General features: G+C 39.8%; 1 annotated feature.

Annotated features, from left to right (window-relative positions):
- Positions 2429-2723: a silencer, noted in NCBI's record as "tiled region #5260; HepG2 Repressive non-DNase unmatched - State 9:DNaseU, and K562 Repressive DNase matched - State 9:DNaseU". NCBI's record gives its function as "represses a minimal TATA promoter and a strong SV40 promoter by Sharpr-MPRA in HepG2 and K562 cells {active_cell/tissue: HepG2 | K562}" and the evidence as "EXISTENCE:reporter gene assay evidence [ECO:0000049][PMID:27701403]".

Raw genomic sequence — 17780 nt, forward strand, 5'->3', positions numbered from 1 at the left:
AGGACTTGAGAGGCATATTGGTTAACCTCTCAGTTACTCTTTGGTAAATGTGGAAATAGTAGTCCTTACCTTTTAGGCTTGTGAAGATGAAACGAGATAACATGTGAATTCTCAGCTTGGAGCCCAGTATACAGCAGCACTCAGTATGTGGCGAATTTTGTTAGGACAATATTACTCTTGGGCTAGGTACTGTGCTGAGCACTTCACATACATCTCCCCAAAAGGCTGTCATGATAGTATTAGGATCCTCATTTTGCAGCTGAGGAAACAGAGAACAGAGCCTGCATAGCATCCCAAAGTCACTTAGCTTCTAAGTAAAAACCAGAATTTGAACCCTGGTTGATCTTACTCCAAAGCCTTAGCCTTAGGTATAAAGGCTTGTGGTAGGTTTTTCATGATAGCAAAATATTAAAAATATAATTACCACCAGTAGGGGATTGGTTAAACAAGTTACAGGACATCCTCACAATACACACAGTTGCAAACAAAGTATTTAGGAAGATTTTCAAGATATGTTAAGAGAAAGAACACAGTATAGAACAGTGTACAGTATATTACTATTTCTATAAAAGAGGGTGATTAATATATAAATGTATGTGTTTGTTTATATATGCACAGGACACACAAGAAACCAATGACATTAGTTGCCTATCAGGAAGGGAACTAGGTGGCAGGGTGACATGGATGGGAGGGATACTTTACTATGTACCTTTTTTTTTTTTAGATGAAGTTTCACTCTGTCACCCAAGCTGGAGTGCAGTGGCACGAACTTGGATCACTGCAACCTCCGCCTCCCAGATTCCAGTGATTCTCCTGCCTCAGCCTCCCGAGTAGCTGGGATTACAGCCGTGCACCACCACGCCCAGCTAATTTTTGTATTTTTAGTAGAGATGGGGTTTCACCATGTTGGCCAGGGTGGTCTCGAACTCCTGATCTTGTGATCCACCCACCTTGGCTTCCCAAAGTGCTGGGATTACAGGCACGAGCCACCATGCCTGGCTACTACCCTTTTATATTTTTGTGTGTGTGGAGATGTGTGTGTGTTTTTTGTGGTTCAGAGCTGATCTGTAAATTAATATGTAAATAATTAACGTGATTTCACTGACTTCATTTTTTATCACCCTCCCCCACTCTCAGTCCCTACAGCTTGGGTTCTTGTGTTCCTCAAACATTCATTCCAGCCCAGGGCCTTTAAACTTGATTTTCTCCATGAGACCCTCTTCCCCTGATCCTTGCCTTTCCTTCACCACATTCAAGTCTCTGCCCAGATGCCATCCTTCAGAAAGGCCTTTCCTGACCATGTGACCCGAAATAACCACCACTGTTCATTGTTGCTTTATTTTCTTTACATCACTATGCACTGTCTCAAATTATATTATTCTGTTTTTCTGTGTATTTACTTGTTTCTTTTCTATTTCCCCCACTAGAATGTAAGTTCCAGTAGGACGAAGATTTTTTTCTGTTATATATCTTAGTGTATGATACATGATAGATGCTTAATAAATATTTGCTGGTGGAATTAATGAGCAGATAAGCATAACCTTTCTCTGTGATATTTATCACAGATAAATATGTTAATTTATTAATCAGTTAATTGAACATATATTTATCGAATGTCTAACATATTATAAAACAGTCAAAAGTCCCCATCCTCATGGGGCTTTTATTCTTATTGATTGAGTCATTTATTTACTGACACACAACTACAAGCCAGGCTCTATGCTAGGTACTTCAGAAGAGACAATGACAAAAAGCAGGTGTTTTTCCTTTAAGACATTTGTACTTGTTTAAGGAATAGGGATGGGAGTGGGAGTAGGAGTGGGAAAAGATTTGGTTGCACAGTACAAAATCTGAAACGTTAGGTGCCGTAGGGCTGGGAATGAAGACAGGGGAAGAAAGACCTTATTTGCATTCTCTGATGTCTTAGGCTCTAGGGAGAGTGATGGAAATGGGAGTAGGAGTGGGGAAAGATTTGGTTGCACAGTACAAAATCTGAGATGGTGCTGTAGGGCTGGGAATGAAGACGAGGGAGAAAGACCTTATTTGCATTCTCTGATGTCTTAGACTCTAGGGAGAGTGACAGAAATCAGAAGAGAAGAAGAAGTGTTGATGGACAAACAAGTGGTCCAGAATTTTAACAGAAGAAAACAGGAAAAATTGTATTAGACTTTACTTTCTACCAGAGATGCAGGCAGGAAGCAGCCCTATGTAGCGCCTACTGTCATACTCATAAGACACCAGCTACACACCATGAAACAGGGACCTCAGTCACAAAACATCCTGTCTGAAAGGTTCATGCATGTCACACAATAGGGGCTTAAATAAATATTTGTTGGGTGAATTGAGCACATAAGTGCAACCCTTTGCTGTAATAAATTTGTTAATTAATTGAACAAAAATTTATTCAGTGCCTACTATGTGATATTTTGTGGGGAGGAGTTTTCTAAGCCCGACTTGGAGGAAGACCATGGATTTAACCTGCAAGGTGTCCACTGCCAGCCTTGACGGGCCCTTCTGGAGGAACTTGCAGGGTGAGGTGAGCGTTGGGAGCTTTTTTAGGTGTCTGTAGCCATGTGCTACTGTCCATGGTCCTGAAACACCACCATTGCTCTTTAGGACACGAATTCTTCTTCTAGCACAAGAACATTGGTGACTTGTGTCCAGCATCTTTCAAAAATCCTGAAACAGGTAAGGAAGAAGAAGGTAGAGGAATATAGGATATGCGGGTGGGAAGAGAATACACAGAGGCTCTTAGAAAGGCACAGCCCCAAGAGAGTGTCAGGGAGTTCTTTGGCTTTGAAATATTAATATGTATTCACTTCCACCATGAAGGAAACCACCCTAGACCTAGAACACGGCCAAGACACTGTAAAGCTGAAGAATAGGGAGAAATTTCTGCATGAGGCTAAGCAAAGGTGACTATGAACAATATTGGGACGGCAATATCAAGATGGCTCAAGTGAAATACTAGTTATTATATCAAAGAGTTCATAATAAAATTAAGCCATATGGAGAATTTTACATATTTATTACATACTCATTATATAATATGTATAATATATAAATTACATATTTTATGTCATATATAATACATTGTATATATTTTATATGTAATGATAATATACACTATATGTAATATTCCTCATAACATATTCATTATAAAATTAAGCCATATGGAAAAGTTTAAAGAAGAAACAAACCACCCAGTTCTGTCACTCTGAAATATGATAGTTCAGGCCGGGCGTGGTGGCTCACGCCTGTAATCCCAGCATTTTGGGAGGCTGAGGCAGGCGGATCACAAGGTCAGGAGTTCGAGACCAGCCTGACCAACATGGAGAAACTCTGTCTTTACTAAAAATACAAAAATTAGCTGGGCGTGGTGGCGCACGCCTGTAATCCCAGCTACTCAGGAGGCTGAGGCAGGAGAATCTCTTGAACCCAGGAGGCAGAGGTTGCAGTGAGCTGAGATCGTGCCACTGCACTCTAACCTGGGCAACAGAGCGAGACTCCACCTCAGAAAAAAAATATGATAGTTCATCAAATCTAGGTTTTGATTATACTTCAAATCATTTTTTGTATCACTAAAAAAAACCTACCAATTAAACCATAACAAAATGCTTTACATAATCTAGAGTTTTTATTAAAAGAACTGTTTTAAACTTGTATAAATATATATTTTATAGCATGTTACTCATATACAAACATAAACAAAAAATATAAGAAATAAATTGGTCCAATATATTTCTAAAACACCTTCACATTTAGCGTTCAACTCTTCTGAATCACCTTTTGGCTCAGTCGTTGTGTGTGTGTGTGTGTTTGTGTGTGTGTGTGTGTGTGTGTGTGTGTGTGAATACAATATCCTTTGTGCATCAAGAGTATCAATGATGCAGCATTTCTTAAAAGAGTGCTCAGCTTCACGCCTGCAATCCTAGGCCTTGGGAGGCCAAGGCGGGCGGATCATGAGGTCAGGAGATCAATACCATCCTGGCTAACACTGTGAAACCCTGTCTCTACTAAAAATACAACAAATTACCCAGGTGTGGTGGTGGGCGCCTGTAATCCCAGCTACTCGGGAGGCTGAGGCAGGAGAATCACTTGAACCCGGGAGGCAGAGGTTGCAGTGAGCCGAGATCACACCACTGCACTCCAGCCTGGGCAACAAGAGCGAAACTCCGTTTCAAAAAAAAACAAAAAAACAAAAACGAGTGCTCAGCTATTGTCTCTGGACTTTATTTCCAAGGCACTGCTTGGAGTTTTGATGCTGGAACTTGCTTGATCTTACCAGAAGATGTCAGCAATGACAACTACTTCATGGCTGCCACCTGGCTGTCAGCCATTGTGTGGTCACTAGATTTCAGAGTTGTTTATATGTGAAAAAAAAAAAATCAGTATTTTAGAATGGGTGAAGACAGTAACTGGTAAACATTATTTCAAATATCTTTCTGTGCTTATAAACAACAAGAAGAATAAATGGATAGAAAGAGAAAGTTTTACATAAGGTTAGACAAAAATGATTTTGTAAAAATTAATCACTACATTTTATCAAAAATGCAAATTAAGCTTCTGAAATTTTAATGAAATTCAACAGAAGAAAAATAAATTGAAGTAGATCTGAAGGAATGGCTATAATTTAAATAATGTTTCCACCCCAGGAGATATTAATTACTAAAAGGATTCTTATAAGGGTAAGGACAAGTGGTTATAAAAACCATAAAATCATAAAGAGGTTGGAGTCATTGATTTTTCAAACCTCACACATTTCGATTTCAGACAGTATTGATTGATCCCCCGCTATAAAAGGTGAGATGGTTAGCACAGTTACACTTCCTCCCTCCTCCCTTTGCCAATCTCCCAATTTTGTTGCTTATGTTGATTTTTCTCTTGTTGGGATTTATATTATTTATATTCTGTTTTGTAATTGTAATTCCTAGCATTTATAATTAGTGTGTAAAGCTGACTTCCCAATCTTTTTGCACTGTCTTCATTTTTTTTTTTTTTTTGAGACAAGAGTTTCGCTCTTGTTGTCCACGCTGGAGTGCAATGGCGCAATCTCAGCTCACTGCAACCTCCATCTCCCAGGTTCAAGCGATTCTCCTGCCTCAGCCTCCCAAGTAGCTGGGATTACAGACATGCACCACCAAGCCTGGCTAATTTTGTGTTTTTTTTTTAGTAGAGATGGGGTTTCTCCATGTTGGTCAGGCTGGTCTCGAACTCCTGGCCTCAGGTGATTCACCCACCTCGGCCTCCCAAAGTGCTGGGATTACAGGCGTGAGCCACCGCATCCGGCTCTTCTTCATTTTTAAGTCCTTTTGGCTTTGTAATGACATCTTTTCAAAGTAAGACATGCACATAGTTTAAAAAGTCAAGTTTTACCACTTGGCCCTAAATGAAAAATTGCATTTCTCTGCTCCCTATTTTCACTTATCCAAACCTCACAGCTCTGAGGGAGTAATCCCTACCTTTTACAACGATCTCCTTTGTTGTCATGTTCACAGCCCCCAAACAGTGACTTCTTGCTATGGCAGCTGAGCTTTTCGATGATTTACTAGACCTCTCCTAACACACATATACATACACTCAGCATCCTCTCATCCTCCACATATAATTATCACCACTTTTCATTAAATCAAGATCCAGTGCAGAGGCCTGCCAACATATGTGACAGCTGTACTGGATCATTTTTTATCACCTAGGAGGTGATAAAAATATAATAATCATGAAATAAAACAAATATGTAATAGTAAGGAAAAGAAACAGTGAACCTTTTTTATTGAACTTCATATAACTAATAACAGTAAAAAATAAAAAATGAATATTGCAGTACTAAAAAAGGAAAAGCAATCATCCTAATATTGCGTCTTTTTTAGTGTAGGTGCCTTGGATGCACCAGCTTGTAATTTTTTAGCTTTTTCAGTAACTTTATGTAATGTTGAAGGTATTATACATTTCAAGATAGAGCCATACATTGCTTTTTTACATTTTTTCCTTACTGAAGTCCACTGGATTAATATTGTTTCATGTTAGTATGGGTACCTCACTTCAAGTTTCTTTATAAAATTCAGAGTAATTACAAACTGAATCAGTTGCTGGTTTCACAACAATATTACAAATGACCGCAAGTTCTTCCAAGCTCCTGCAGGACAAAAAGCACAACTATTTATCAAAGAATTCTTATATCTATGTAACAGAATTTTTGTCTTTAGTTACAATCTGATATATTAATATTTTAGGTTAGTAATTGTTCAATAACTATTAAGTGATCTTTAAAAATAAAACAAATGTCTCCAAAGGGTACCATTTAGGAAAGTACTAATAATAACACTAATTATACATTACATTTTTCTGGATTCATTCTTTAGTTTTAAAAACTAATAATTAATGGCCGGGCGCGGTGGCTCACGCTTGTAATCTCAGCACTTTGGGAGGCCGAGGCCGGTGGATCATGAGGTCAGGAGATAGAGATCACCCTGGCTAACGTGGTAAAACCCCGTCTCTACTAAAAATATAAAAAAATTAGCTGGGCATGGTGGCGGGCGCCTGTAGTCCCAGCTACTCGGGAGGCTGAGGCAGGAGAATGGCGTGAACCCGGGAGGCGGAGGTTGCAGTGAGCCGAGATCCCACCACTGCACTCCCAGAGCGAGACTCCGTCTCAAACCAAACAAAAAAAAACAAACAAAAAAACCTAATAATTAAAAAAAAAGAATAAATTTTAGGCCAGGCACAGTGGCTCACCCCTCCAGCACTTTAGGAGGCCGAGGCAGGTGGATCACCTGAGGTCAGGGATTCGAGACCAGCCTGACCAACATGGCGAAATCCTATCTCTACTAAAAATACAAAAATCAGCTGGGTGTGGTAGCGGGTGCCTGTGGTAGCGGGTTCCAGCTACTCAGGAGGCCGAAGCAGGAGAGTTGCTTGAACCCGGGAGGCGGAGGTTGCAGTGAGCTGAGATGGCACCATTGCACTCCAGCCTGGGCAACAAGAGCGAAACTCCGTCTCAAAAAAATTTTTTTAAAATTATTTAAATTAAGTAAAGCATATCATATATGAACAAAAACTGGCATTTACCAACCAAAAATATTATATTGTACCTTTTTGTTTGCACTGTTTCATTATTTTTAAACTCCAAGTGATTTGCACAGAATGACAAGATGAAGTAACTCAAGTTCTGTTTCTTTGTCGTTACAATACTGTGCTTGAATTATTTTTAATCTACTGTTTAAAAGCAGGAATGTGTGGTACCACAGGGGTAGAGACATAAACTGCACTAGAAATGAACCTGAACAATGATTCTGAACTATTATAAGTTTACTCTCAAACAATTGCCTGTAGCTGAATCTGTGTGTGTTGAAGATGGAATGTACAACTGGGAGTTGCTCAATTAGCTTTCATGTAAAACATAAAATGTTTATTAAAGGATAAATAATAAGAATGTGTTCATTTGAAGCTTGCAAATATAATGTTAAAGCTCAACAGTAATTTCAGAAATTATTTATAAATTATAAATTAGACAAACAAAAAATTTTCAGTGGGGGGAAAGAAGAATTTTATAATTGACACTATTTAGAATTGCTAGTGCACAGTGACAATGAAAACCACACTGACTTCTAGTTTTGTGATAGTTTTAAAGTTACCCTCAGTAATGCACTTCTTATTGCCAGCGCTTGAGGCAGACCGCTCTCACCATCCATCTTTGGTATGCCATTGGTTCGGCGTTTATATTATCAAGGTAATGCAATTAATATTGATAGTTGAGTCATAAACTGTACTATAATTACATTCCAACTTTTTTACTTCCTGAAGTTAATAATTGCCTCTTTTTTTGTTTGTGTTGTTTTCTATACACTAGTTCATTCTGAAATTTTCCACCAGAACTGAAAATCTTCTTTGAATTTTTGTTCAGACACCCCAAATGATCTATCAATTCTGCTTTTCTCTTGATATCAGTCCTCTGGGAGCAGTACATCATCCTACCACAAACTGGACAGGTTACTTCTTAAACACATTGTCTTCCTGGAAGCAGTTATCTTCCTGGCACTTCTCTTCACCACTGCCTAAGAAGTTTCCATCATTTTCCTTTTGTGTTGATTCTCACGTCTGGATCCCGTGTTTTCCTTCTTTATTCTCTTCATCATGCCGTCACAAAAGCACATCTTTCAGTAGCTTTTGGAGAAAGGGTGTGTGGGAGGTAAATTTTTAAAACCTGGCATATCTGAAAATATCTTTGCCTTTACAGCTTTATGTTTTCATTTTAATTTTGAATTAACATTCAGTAAAGTTGACTTTGTAGACAATTTTATAATTTTTTTTTTTTGAGATGAGGTCTTGCTCTGTCACTGGAGTGCAGTAGAATGATCACAGCTCACTGCAGCCTTGACCTCCCAGGCTCAAGCGATCATCCCACCTCAGCCTCCCAAGTCACTGGGAGGCTGCCACCACACCTGGCTAATGAAAACAGTTTTTTAAATTTTGGTAGAGACAGGGTCTCAGTATGTTGTCCAGGCTGGTCTCAAACTCCTGGACTCCAGCAATCCTCCTGCCTTGGCCTCCCAAAGTGCTAGGATTACAGATGTAAGCTACCGTGACTGGTCACAGTTTTATGAATTTTAACACACGTTGATTTAGGTAAGCACCACAAGATACAGAAGAGTTTCATTACCTCCGAAAACTCCCTCATGCTACCCCTTTGTAATCACACTGTCCTTCCCATCCCTAAGTCTTGGCAACCACACATCTGTTCTCTATCACTATAGGCTTGTCTTTTTGAGAATGTCATATCAATGGAATCATACAGCATGTAACATTTTAGGACTAACTTCTTTCATTCAATAATGCCTTTGAGATTCATCTAAGTGGTTGCATGTATCAACAGTTCATTGCTTTTTCTCACTGAGGAATGTTAGGTTTATCTATTTACCACTGAAGGACATGGGGTTGTTTCCAGTTGTTTATTGTTGTTTTGGAAATTATAAATGGAGCCATTACAACTATTTATTTACAGGTTTTGGTGCGAATATAAGCTTTTAAGTTTTCTAGGGTAAATACCTAAGAATTGTTGTCATATTATAAAGTGTATTTAACTTTATAAGACTGCCAAACTGTTTTCCAGAGTGGCAATATCATTTTGTAATCCCACCAGCAATGTCAGAGTTCTAGTTGCTTCTCATCCTAGTAAGCACTTGGTATTGTCAGTATTTTAATATTTTTAAGTATGTGTGGGGGGGGTGTTTGTTTGTTTGTTTGTTTTTTGAGACATAGTCTCACTGTGTCACCCAGGCTGGAGTGCAGTGGCGCGATCTCGGCTCACTGCATTTCCGCCCCCCGAGTTCAAGCAATTCTACTGCCTCAGCCTCCCATGTAGCTGGAATTACAGGTACAGGTGTGTGCCATCACATTCAGCTAATTTTTGTACTTGTAGTAGAGTCTTGTCATTATGAACTGGTCTTGAACTCCTGGCCTCAAGTGATCTGCCCGCCTTGGCCTCCCAAAGTGCTGGGATTATAGGTGTGAGCCACCGTGCCCGGCCAAACTTTTATTTATTTAGTTTAATTTTTACTTACTTATTTATTTGTTTGAGACGGAGTATCACTCTGTCACCCAGGCGGGAGTGCAGTGGCGTGATCTCAGTTCACCGCAACCTCCGCCTCCTGGGTTCAAGAGATTCTCCTGCCTCAGCCTCCCGAGTAGCTGGGATTACAGGTGTTTGCCACCACACCTGGCTAATTGTTGTAATTTTAGTAGAGACGGGGTTTCACCATGGTGGCGCGGCTGGTCTTGAACTCCTGACTTCAAATAATCCACCCATCTCAGCCTCCCAAAATGTCGCAATTACAGGCATGAGCCACTATGCGTGGACTTTTAAACCTCTCTTTCTTTATAAATTACCCAGTCTTGGGTATTTCTTCACAGCAATATGAAAATGGACTAATACACCTTTTATTTCTTTTTATTACCTTAATTAACTGGCTGAGAATTCCAGTATGTTGTTGAATAGGAGTAATGAGAGTAACCATCCTTGCTTTTTTCAATCCTCACAGCATCTTACACATGAATGTTTATCCAGGGATCTTTAGATATTTGAGGAAACCATCTGAAAAACAGGTCAATGGGAGTCGTTATATTATTCCCTCACTCTTTTATTTTTCTCTTTTTCTCTCTTTCTTTCTTTCTCTCTCTCTTTCTTTCTTTCTTCTTTCTTTTCCTTTCCTTCCTTCCTTTCTCTTTCTTTATTGCTTTTCTTTCTCTCTTTCTTTCTCTTTCCTTCTTTCTCTCTCTCTCTCTCTCTCTCTCTAGATAGGGTCTCACTCTGTTATGCAGGCTGAAGTGCAGTGGTGTAATCATAGATCACTGCAGCCTCAAACTCATGGGCTTAAGTGATCCTTCCACCCTAGCCTCCCCAGCAGCTGGGACTACAGGCATACACCACCAGGCCTGGCTGAAGGTATTTCTTAATTTTCCTTTAGCATCCAGTTTGTTCTTGATTAATCTGAAGCTGTTATGCTTCTTGTTATTTTGTGGGTGGGTGACCTATTCCTTATCTCTGGAGACTTTAAGGACCTCGTTTTTATTCTTAATGTTTTGAAATTTTATGAAAAAGTGCTTAGTGTGGATTAAATTTCTTCTGATGATGTTTTTCAGTCTGAGAGACTTTTATTTCTTTGATAATTTTTTCACCTTTTTAGTTGCCATTCTTTTGGGAATTCCTACTGAAATAATTTCTAAGCCTCTTATGTATTTTCTTCAGTTGCTTACCTAATTTTTTATTCTACATTCAGAAGAGATTTCCTCAACTTGATTTTCCAATCCCTCTGTTGAAGTTTTAATTTCTGTAAACATATTTGAATTCCCAAAAGCTCTTTTTTTGTTCTCTAGTTTTTAAATATAATTCCATTCTTAATTTATAGGTATTATATCTTCTTGCTTCTCTCTAAAGATACTAATTACATGAACTAAAGGGTTTTTTGTAAAGGTTTCTTACATTCTCTGTATCATTTTTGTTTTCTTCTCATTCATTTTTCTATTTATTTTGTTTTTGCTTTTTAATGTTGAAAGCCTTTCTTAAATGCCTGGTTATCTTTGGTTGCCTTTATCCATTTAGGAGGAAGGCACTAAAATTAGATTAGAACTTCTATATATAGGCAGAGCTCTTATGCTGATGGACTTCACTTTAGGGGAGCAGGTGGAAAATTGGCAATTCACTGGAGGACCCCAAAGTGCCAATATATTGAGGCCTGTTTTTCTGGGGTTGCTGTTTCTCCAGAGGGGGAAAAGTATTGGTTTCCTGTCTTTAAGTTAGATGCTAGAGTTTTGCACTGGATTAAGAAAGAAGATGAAATTCAGTTTTCTTTTAGTCAGGGAAGTTCCCACCTATGTCCTTCTATCATTTACATTACCTACACTTGAGTCTGTGACCCTGATATTACAAAAACTTTTCTGTACAAGACAGACTTGCAACATTCTCAAGGGTCTCCTGCTTTTGGCGTATCACATTCATTCCTGTTGTCAGGTACTTTACCATAACATGGTGGACATTGCAAGTTGTCTACTCAGCAGTCATGCCTAATTCCTTCTTCCTTGCCTGATTCCTGCTAAATTACCTGAAAAAGCTAAGTATTCATGTTCCCAGACCATTTAGCAGCTAGTAGTAGTCATGTGATAAATCCAGTAATTACCAGTAAGACATAGGGGCATCCACTGGGGAGTTTGGGGGAAAGATTTATTCTCCATGATTAAAGGCAAGAGATGAAGGAAGACACTGCCCACACTACTTTCCTCACTTCTAGTATTGAATGAAATTGCATGAGGACATATATGATGATCGAAGCCACGGAAACCATCTTGGACCATGAGGGAAAAAAAACAAGAGCATCACAGATTCACTGAACTGGTATTGTGATCTCATCAAGTCACTGGGTCACAGCTGGCTCATTGGCTTTGATCCTCTGAATTTACCTAATTATTTTTTTTAATCTTCCTTCTTCTTTTTAGTTAAATATTCTGTCTTGTTTTCTATTTCTCCCCTTGTCTTCTCTCATCCTTTCAGATCTTTAAAGAGTCTGAAGCTTGGATGGAAACACAGACAAAGTTATAGGCCCTTACCTGTTCTCATTAGGTCTTTTCTGAAACAAGATGAGATATGAATAAGCAAATGGGCTGCTCCCCCTATGTCCAATAGAGATGTCCAAATGAGATGTCTGTCATCTTTCTTCTTCTTTGCTGCCATAGAGGTCTTCATCTGACTAATACAACATGGGACCAAGCTTTATTCCCTCCCCACCAAAAATGCTCTTAAAAGTGACTTGGTGGCTGGGCGCAGTAGCTCACGCCTGTAATCCCAGCACTTTGGGAGGCCGAGGTAGGCAGATCACATTCATCAGAATGACATCCACTCATTCTGCTGAAAAGAGTTCTCATGAAGGAACTCACAGATTATTTGTAGAGTGATGGGATAAACACTGGAGAAGGGGTCAGAAAGCCTCGATTTCTGACCTTCACCTGCATAATGTCCTCCCCTGGTTCCTCATGTCTCTTACAGGAATGAATGTGATACACCAAAAGCAGGAGACCCTTGAGAATGTTGCAAGTCTGTCTTGTACAGAAAAGTTTTTGTAATATCAGGGTCACAGACTCAAGTGTAGGTAATGTACATGATAAATACAGATAAAATCTGTATTTATTAACCTAGTTCCTCAAAGCTCTGCATAATCTTCTCCCTGCCTGCTCTGTACCCTCAGCTCCCACCAGCTCCCCTGTGCTCCAGCCTTACGGAGGCTCTCCAGGTTCCTGGATTATAAAGTGTATGCTCAGAGGTACAAGGAGGAGCTGGTACCATTCCTTCTGAAACTATTCAAATCAATAGAAAAAGAGGGAATCCTCCCTAACTCATTTTATGAGGCCAGCATCATCCTAATACCAAAGCCTGGCAGAGACACAACAAAAAAAGAGAATTTTAGACCAATATCCCTGATGAACATCGATGCAAAAATCCTCAATAAAATACTGGCAAACTGAATCCAGCAGCACATCAAAAAGCTTATCCACCATGATCAAGTGGGCTTCATCCCTGGGATGCAAGGCTGGTTCAACATACACAAATCAATAAACATAATCCAGCATATAAACAGAACCAATGACAAAAACTACATGATTATCTCAATAGATGCAGAAAAGGCCTTTGAAAAAATTCAACAAACTTCATGCTAAAAACTCTCAATAAATTAGGTATTGATGGGATTTTTCTCAAACTAATAAGAGCTATCTATGACAAACCCACAGCCAATATCATACTGAATGGGCAAAAACTGGAAGCATTCCCTTTGAAAACTGGCACAAGACAGGGATGCCCTCTCTCACCACTCCTATTCAACGTAGTGTTGGAAGTGCTGGCCAGGGCAATCAGGCAGGAGAAGGAAATAAAGGGTATTCAATTAGGAAAAGAGGAAGTCAAATTGTCCATATTTGCAGATGACATGATTGTATATCTAGAAAACCCCATCGTCTCAGCCCCAAATCTCCTTAAGCTGATAGGCAACTTCAGCAAAGTCTCAGGATACAAAATCAATGTGCAAAAATCACAAGCATTCTTATACACCAATAACAGACAAACAGAGAGCCAAATCATGAGTGAACTCCCATTCACAATTGCTTCAAAGAGAATAAAATAGCTAGGAATCCAACTTACAAGGGACATGAAGGACCTCTTCAAGGAGAAGTACAAACCACTGCTCAATGAAATAAAAGAGGATACAAACAAATGGAAGAACATTCCATGCTCATGGGCAGGAAGAATCAATATCATGAAAATGGCCATACTGCCCAAGGTAATTTATACATTCAGTGCCATCCCCATCAAGCTACCAACGACTTTCTTCATAGAATTGGAAAAAACTACTTTAAAGTTCATATGGAACCAAAAAAGAGCCCGCATTGCCAAGCCAATCCTAAGCCAAAAGAACAAAGCTGGAGGCATCACGCTACCTGACTTCAAACTATACTACAAGGCTACAGTAACCAAAACAGCATGGTACTGGTACCAAAACAGAGATATAGACCAATGGAACAGAACAGAGCCCTCAGAAATAATGCCACCTATCTACAACCATCTGACCTTTGACAAACCTGACAAAAAGAAGTAATGGGGAAAGGATTCCCTATTTAATAAATGGTGCTGGGAAAACTGGCTAGCCATATGTAGAAAGCTGAAACTGGATCTCTTCCTTACACCTTATACAAAAATTAATTCACGATGGATTAAAGACTTAAATGTTAGACCTAAAACCATAAAAACCCTAGAAGAAAACCTAGGCAATACTATTCAGGACATAAGCATGGGCAAGAACTTCATGTCTAAAATACCAAAAGCAATGGCAACAAAAGCCAAAATTGACAAATGGGATCTAATTAAACTAAAGAGCTTCTGCACAGCAAAAGAAACTACCATCAGAGTGAACAGGCAACCTACAGAATGGGAGAAAATTTTTGCAATCTACTCATCTGACAAAGGGCTAATATCCAGAATCTACAATGAACTCAAACCAATTTACAAGAAAAAAACAACCCCATCAAAAAGTGGGCAAAGGATATGAACAGACACTTCTCAAAAGAAGACATTTATGCAGCCAAAAGACACATGAAAGAAATGCTCATCATCACTGGCCATCAGAGAAATGCAAATCAAAACCACAATGAGATACCATCTCACACTAGTTAGAATGGTGATCATTAAAAAGTCAGGAAACAACAGGTGCTGGAGAGGATGTGGAGAAATAGGAACACTTTTACACTGTTGGTGGGAGTGTAAACTAGTTCAAGCATTGTGGAAATCAGTGTGGCGATTCCTCAGGGATCTAGAAGTAGAAATATCATTTGACCCAGCCATCCCATTACTGGGTATATACCCAAAGGATTATAAAACATGCTTCTATAAAGACACATGCACACGTATGTTTATTTCGGCACTATTCACAATAGCAAAAACTTGGAACCAACCCAAATGTCCAACAATGATAGACTGGATTAAGAAAATGTGGCACATATACACCATGGAATACTATGCAGCCATAAAAAATGATGCGTTCATGTCCTTTGTAGGGACATGGATGAAGCTGGAAACCATCATTCTCAGCAAACTATCGCAAGGACAAAAAACCAAACAGCGCATGTTCTCACTCATAGGTGGGAATTGAACAATGAGAACATATGGACACAGGAAGGGGAACATAACACACCAGGGCCTGTTGTGGGGTGGGGGGAGGAGGGAGGGATAACATTAGGAGATACACCTAATGTTAAATAACGAGTTAATGGATGCAGCACACCAACATGGCACATGTATACATATGTAACGAACCTGCACGTTGTGCACATGTACCCTAAAACTTAAAGTATAATTAAAAATAAAATAAAATATAAAGTGTATGCTGGGCCATTTCATCTCTGAGCCTCTGTTCTTCCTGCCAGAAACACACTTCTCCCTCCTTTGTCTGCCTAACACACTTGAACTTCTCCTTTCTTCAAATGACACCGTATCTAGGAAGGCTTCCCCTGTCTCCCGAGCATGGCTAATTGCTCAGCCCTTTAGCCTTTGAGCATTCTTCTAGGTGAGGCATTTCTATCTTTAGTGCGTTTATGTGTTTCTGGGTCTCTCTCTCCAACCAAACCGTGAGTTCTCTGAGAGTAGAATGGATGTCTTGTTTTTGAATCCCCAGCATTGAGCATAGAGGTATATCTGGTCATGCCTCTTGCTGCTCTCCTACTCTTCAAGAAATTAAATTTTAAAGTATTGATTCCATCTTTAACAAACATTTGCATAATATCCACAATGGGCCAGGTATGATACACCAAAAACAATAAATAACATTGTAATCAACTTGTAAAATAGAGAAAGAAGACAACCCATCTTCATCCCACATCCCTTAACAAATTTGTTGTTGAGATCTGGGTATTTACTTCCAGTATATTTGAGCAGAACAACTTTTAAAGTGGTTCCTATGAGCCTCATTAGCTTCAGCAGCCATGGCTGTCTACTGTGTTGCCATTAAAAGTTTGCAGGCCCCAAGAGAGGTGGACGAGCCAGCCTAGACCTCCCTTGGGACTTGACCTTCCACTGGGGCACAGCAGTGAGTCAGTTTCCAGTGGGGATTGTCAGCAAAGTAAATAACCTCTCATTTGAATATTTTCTATTTTCCAAACTCCAACATCAGCATTAGCACATTTGATCTCATCTATAATTCTTACTGTGTCCATTTTGTGGATGAAATGGAGAGACTTGGCAAGGGTTGATGGAAAGAGCATTATGATAGTCCTGTGTGTAAGACCCAACTATGCCATTAACCAATCTCATGACTGGGAACAAGTTATATCACGTCTCCAGGCACCAGTTTCTGCATATGTAAAAGTAGAGAACTGGATTAGATGACCTCTTAAGGCTCCATAGAGTTTCAAACATCTAAGATTTTATGCCTGCTCAAGGTTACTTGGCTTGTTTGTGGCAGAACCATGGCAAGAATTGAGGTTTTATTCCATCACTCGGCAAATAATCTGTGAGTTCCTCCATGAGAACTCTTTTCAGCAGAATGAGTGCATGCCATGACCTCTACCTCTTTCTCTCTGTTCATTGTTGGAATAGAAAGACTTTGCTAAAGAGGTAGAATAAGAAGGGAGCCAGATGGGAGGAGAGGGTAGATGAAAACAAACAAACATGGTTGAAACATTTTGCACTTAAATCTGGGTCATAAGGAAGAATGATCCAGGGCATAAGTGATGATCTTGGGGAAAGTGACCAGGTCACTTTTTTTTTTTTTGAGACAGAGTCTTGCTCTGTTGCCCAGGCTGGAATGCAGTGGTGTGATCTTGGCTCATTGCAACCTCCACCTCCCAGATTCAAGCGATTCTTCTGCCTTAGCCTCCTGAGCCTGAGTAGCTAGGATTATAGGCATGCGCCACCATGCCTGGCTAATTATTATATTTTTAGTAGAGACAGGGTTTCACCATGTTGGCTTGACTGGTCTCAAATCCTGACCTCAGGTGATCTGCCCGCCTCAGCCTCCAAAAGTGCTGCGATTACAGGCGTGAGCCACTGCGCCCAGCCACCAAGTCACTTTTAAGAGCATTTTTGATGAGGAGGGAATAAAACTTGGTCTCGTATTGTATTAGTCCATTCTTGAATTGCTATACAACATACCAGAGGCTGGGAAATTTATAAAGAAAAGAGATTTAATTAGCTCACAGTTCTGCAGGCTGTACTGGAAGCATGGTAGTAGCATCTGCTCGGCTTCTGCCAAGGGCCTCAGAGAGCTTGCAATCATAGTGGAAGGTGAAGTGGGAGCCAGCATCTCACAAGGTAAGAGCAGGAGCAAGAGAGAGAGAGGAGGGGAGGTCCCAGATTTTTAAACAACCAGATCTCCTGTCAACTGAGTGAGAACTCACTTATTACCAAGGGGATGGTGCCAAACTGCTCATGAGGGATTCGCCCCCTTGTTCCAATCCCCTTCTGCCATGATCCAATCGTCTCCAACATTGGGAATCACATTTCAACATGAGATTTGGAGGGGACACATATCCAAACCATGTCACATATTCACCTTGACAGAAGGCAGCTTTCTAAAAAGTGAGATAAGGCTGGGCATAATGGCTCATGCCTATAATCCCAGCATTTTGGGAGACTGAGGCAGGAAGACTGCTCGAGCCCAGGAGTTAGAGACCAGCCTTGGTAACATAGTGAGACCTGTCCTTACACACACACACACACACACACACACACGAATAAATAAAAATGAAGC

The sequence above is a fragment of the Homo sapiens genome, chromosome 17 (assembly GCF_000001405.40).
Source record: "Homo sapiens chromosome 17, GRCh38.p14 Primary Assembly".
In the NCBI taxonomy this organism is placed as follows: Eukaryota; Metazoa; Chordata; class Mammalia; order Primates; family Hominidae; genus Homo; species Homo sapiens.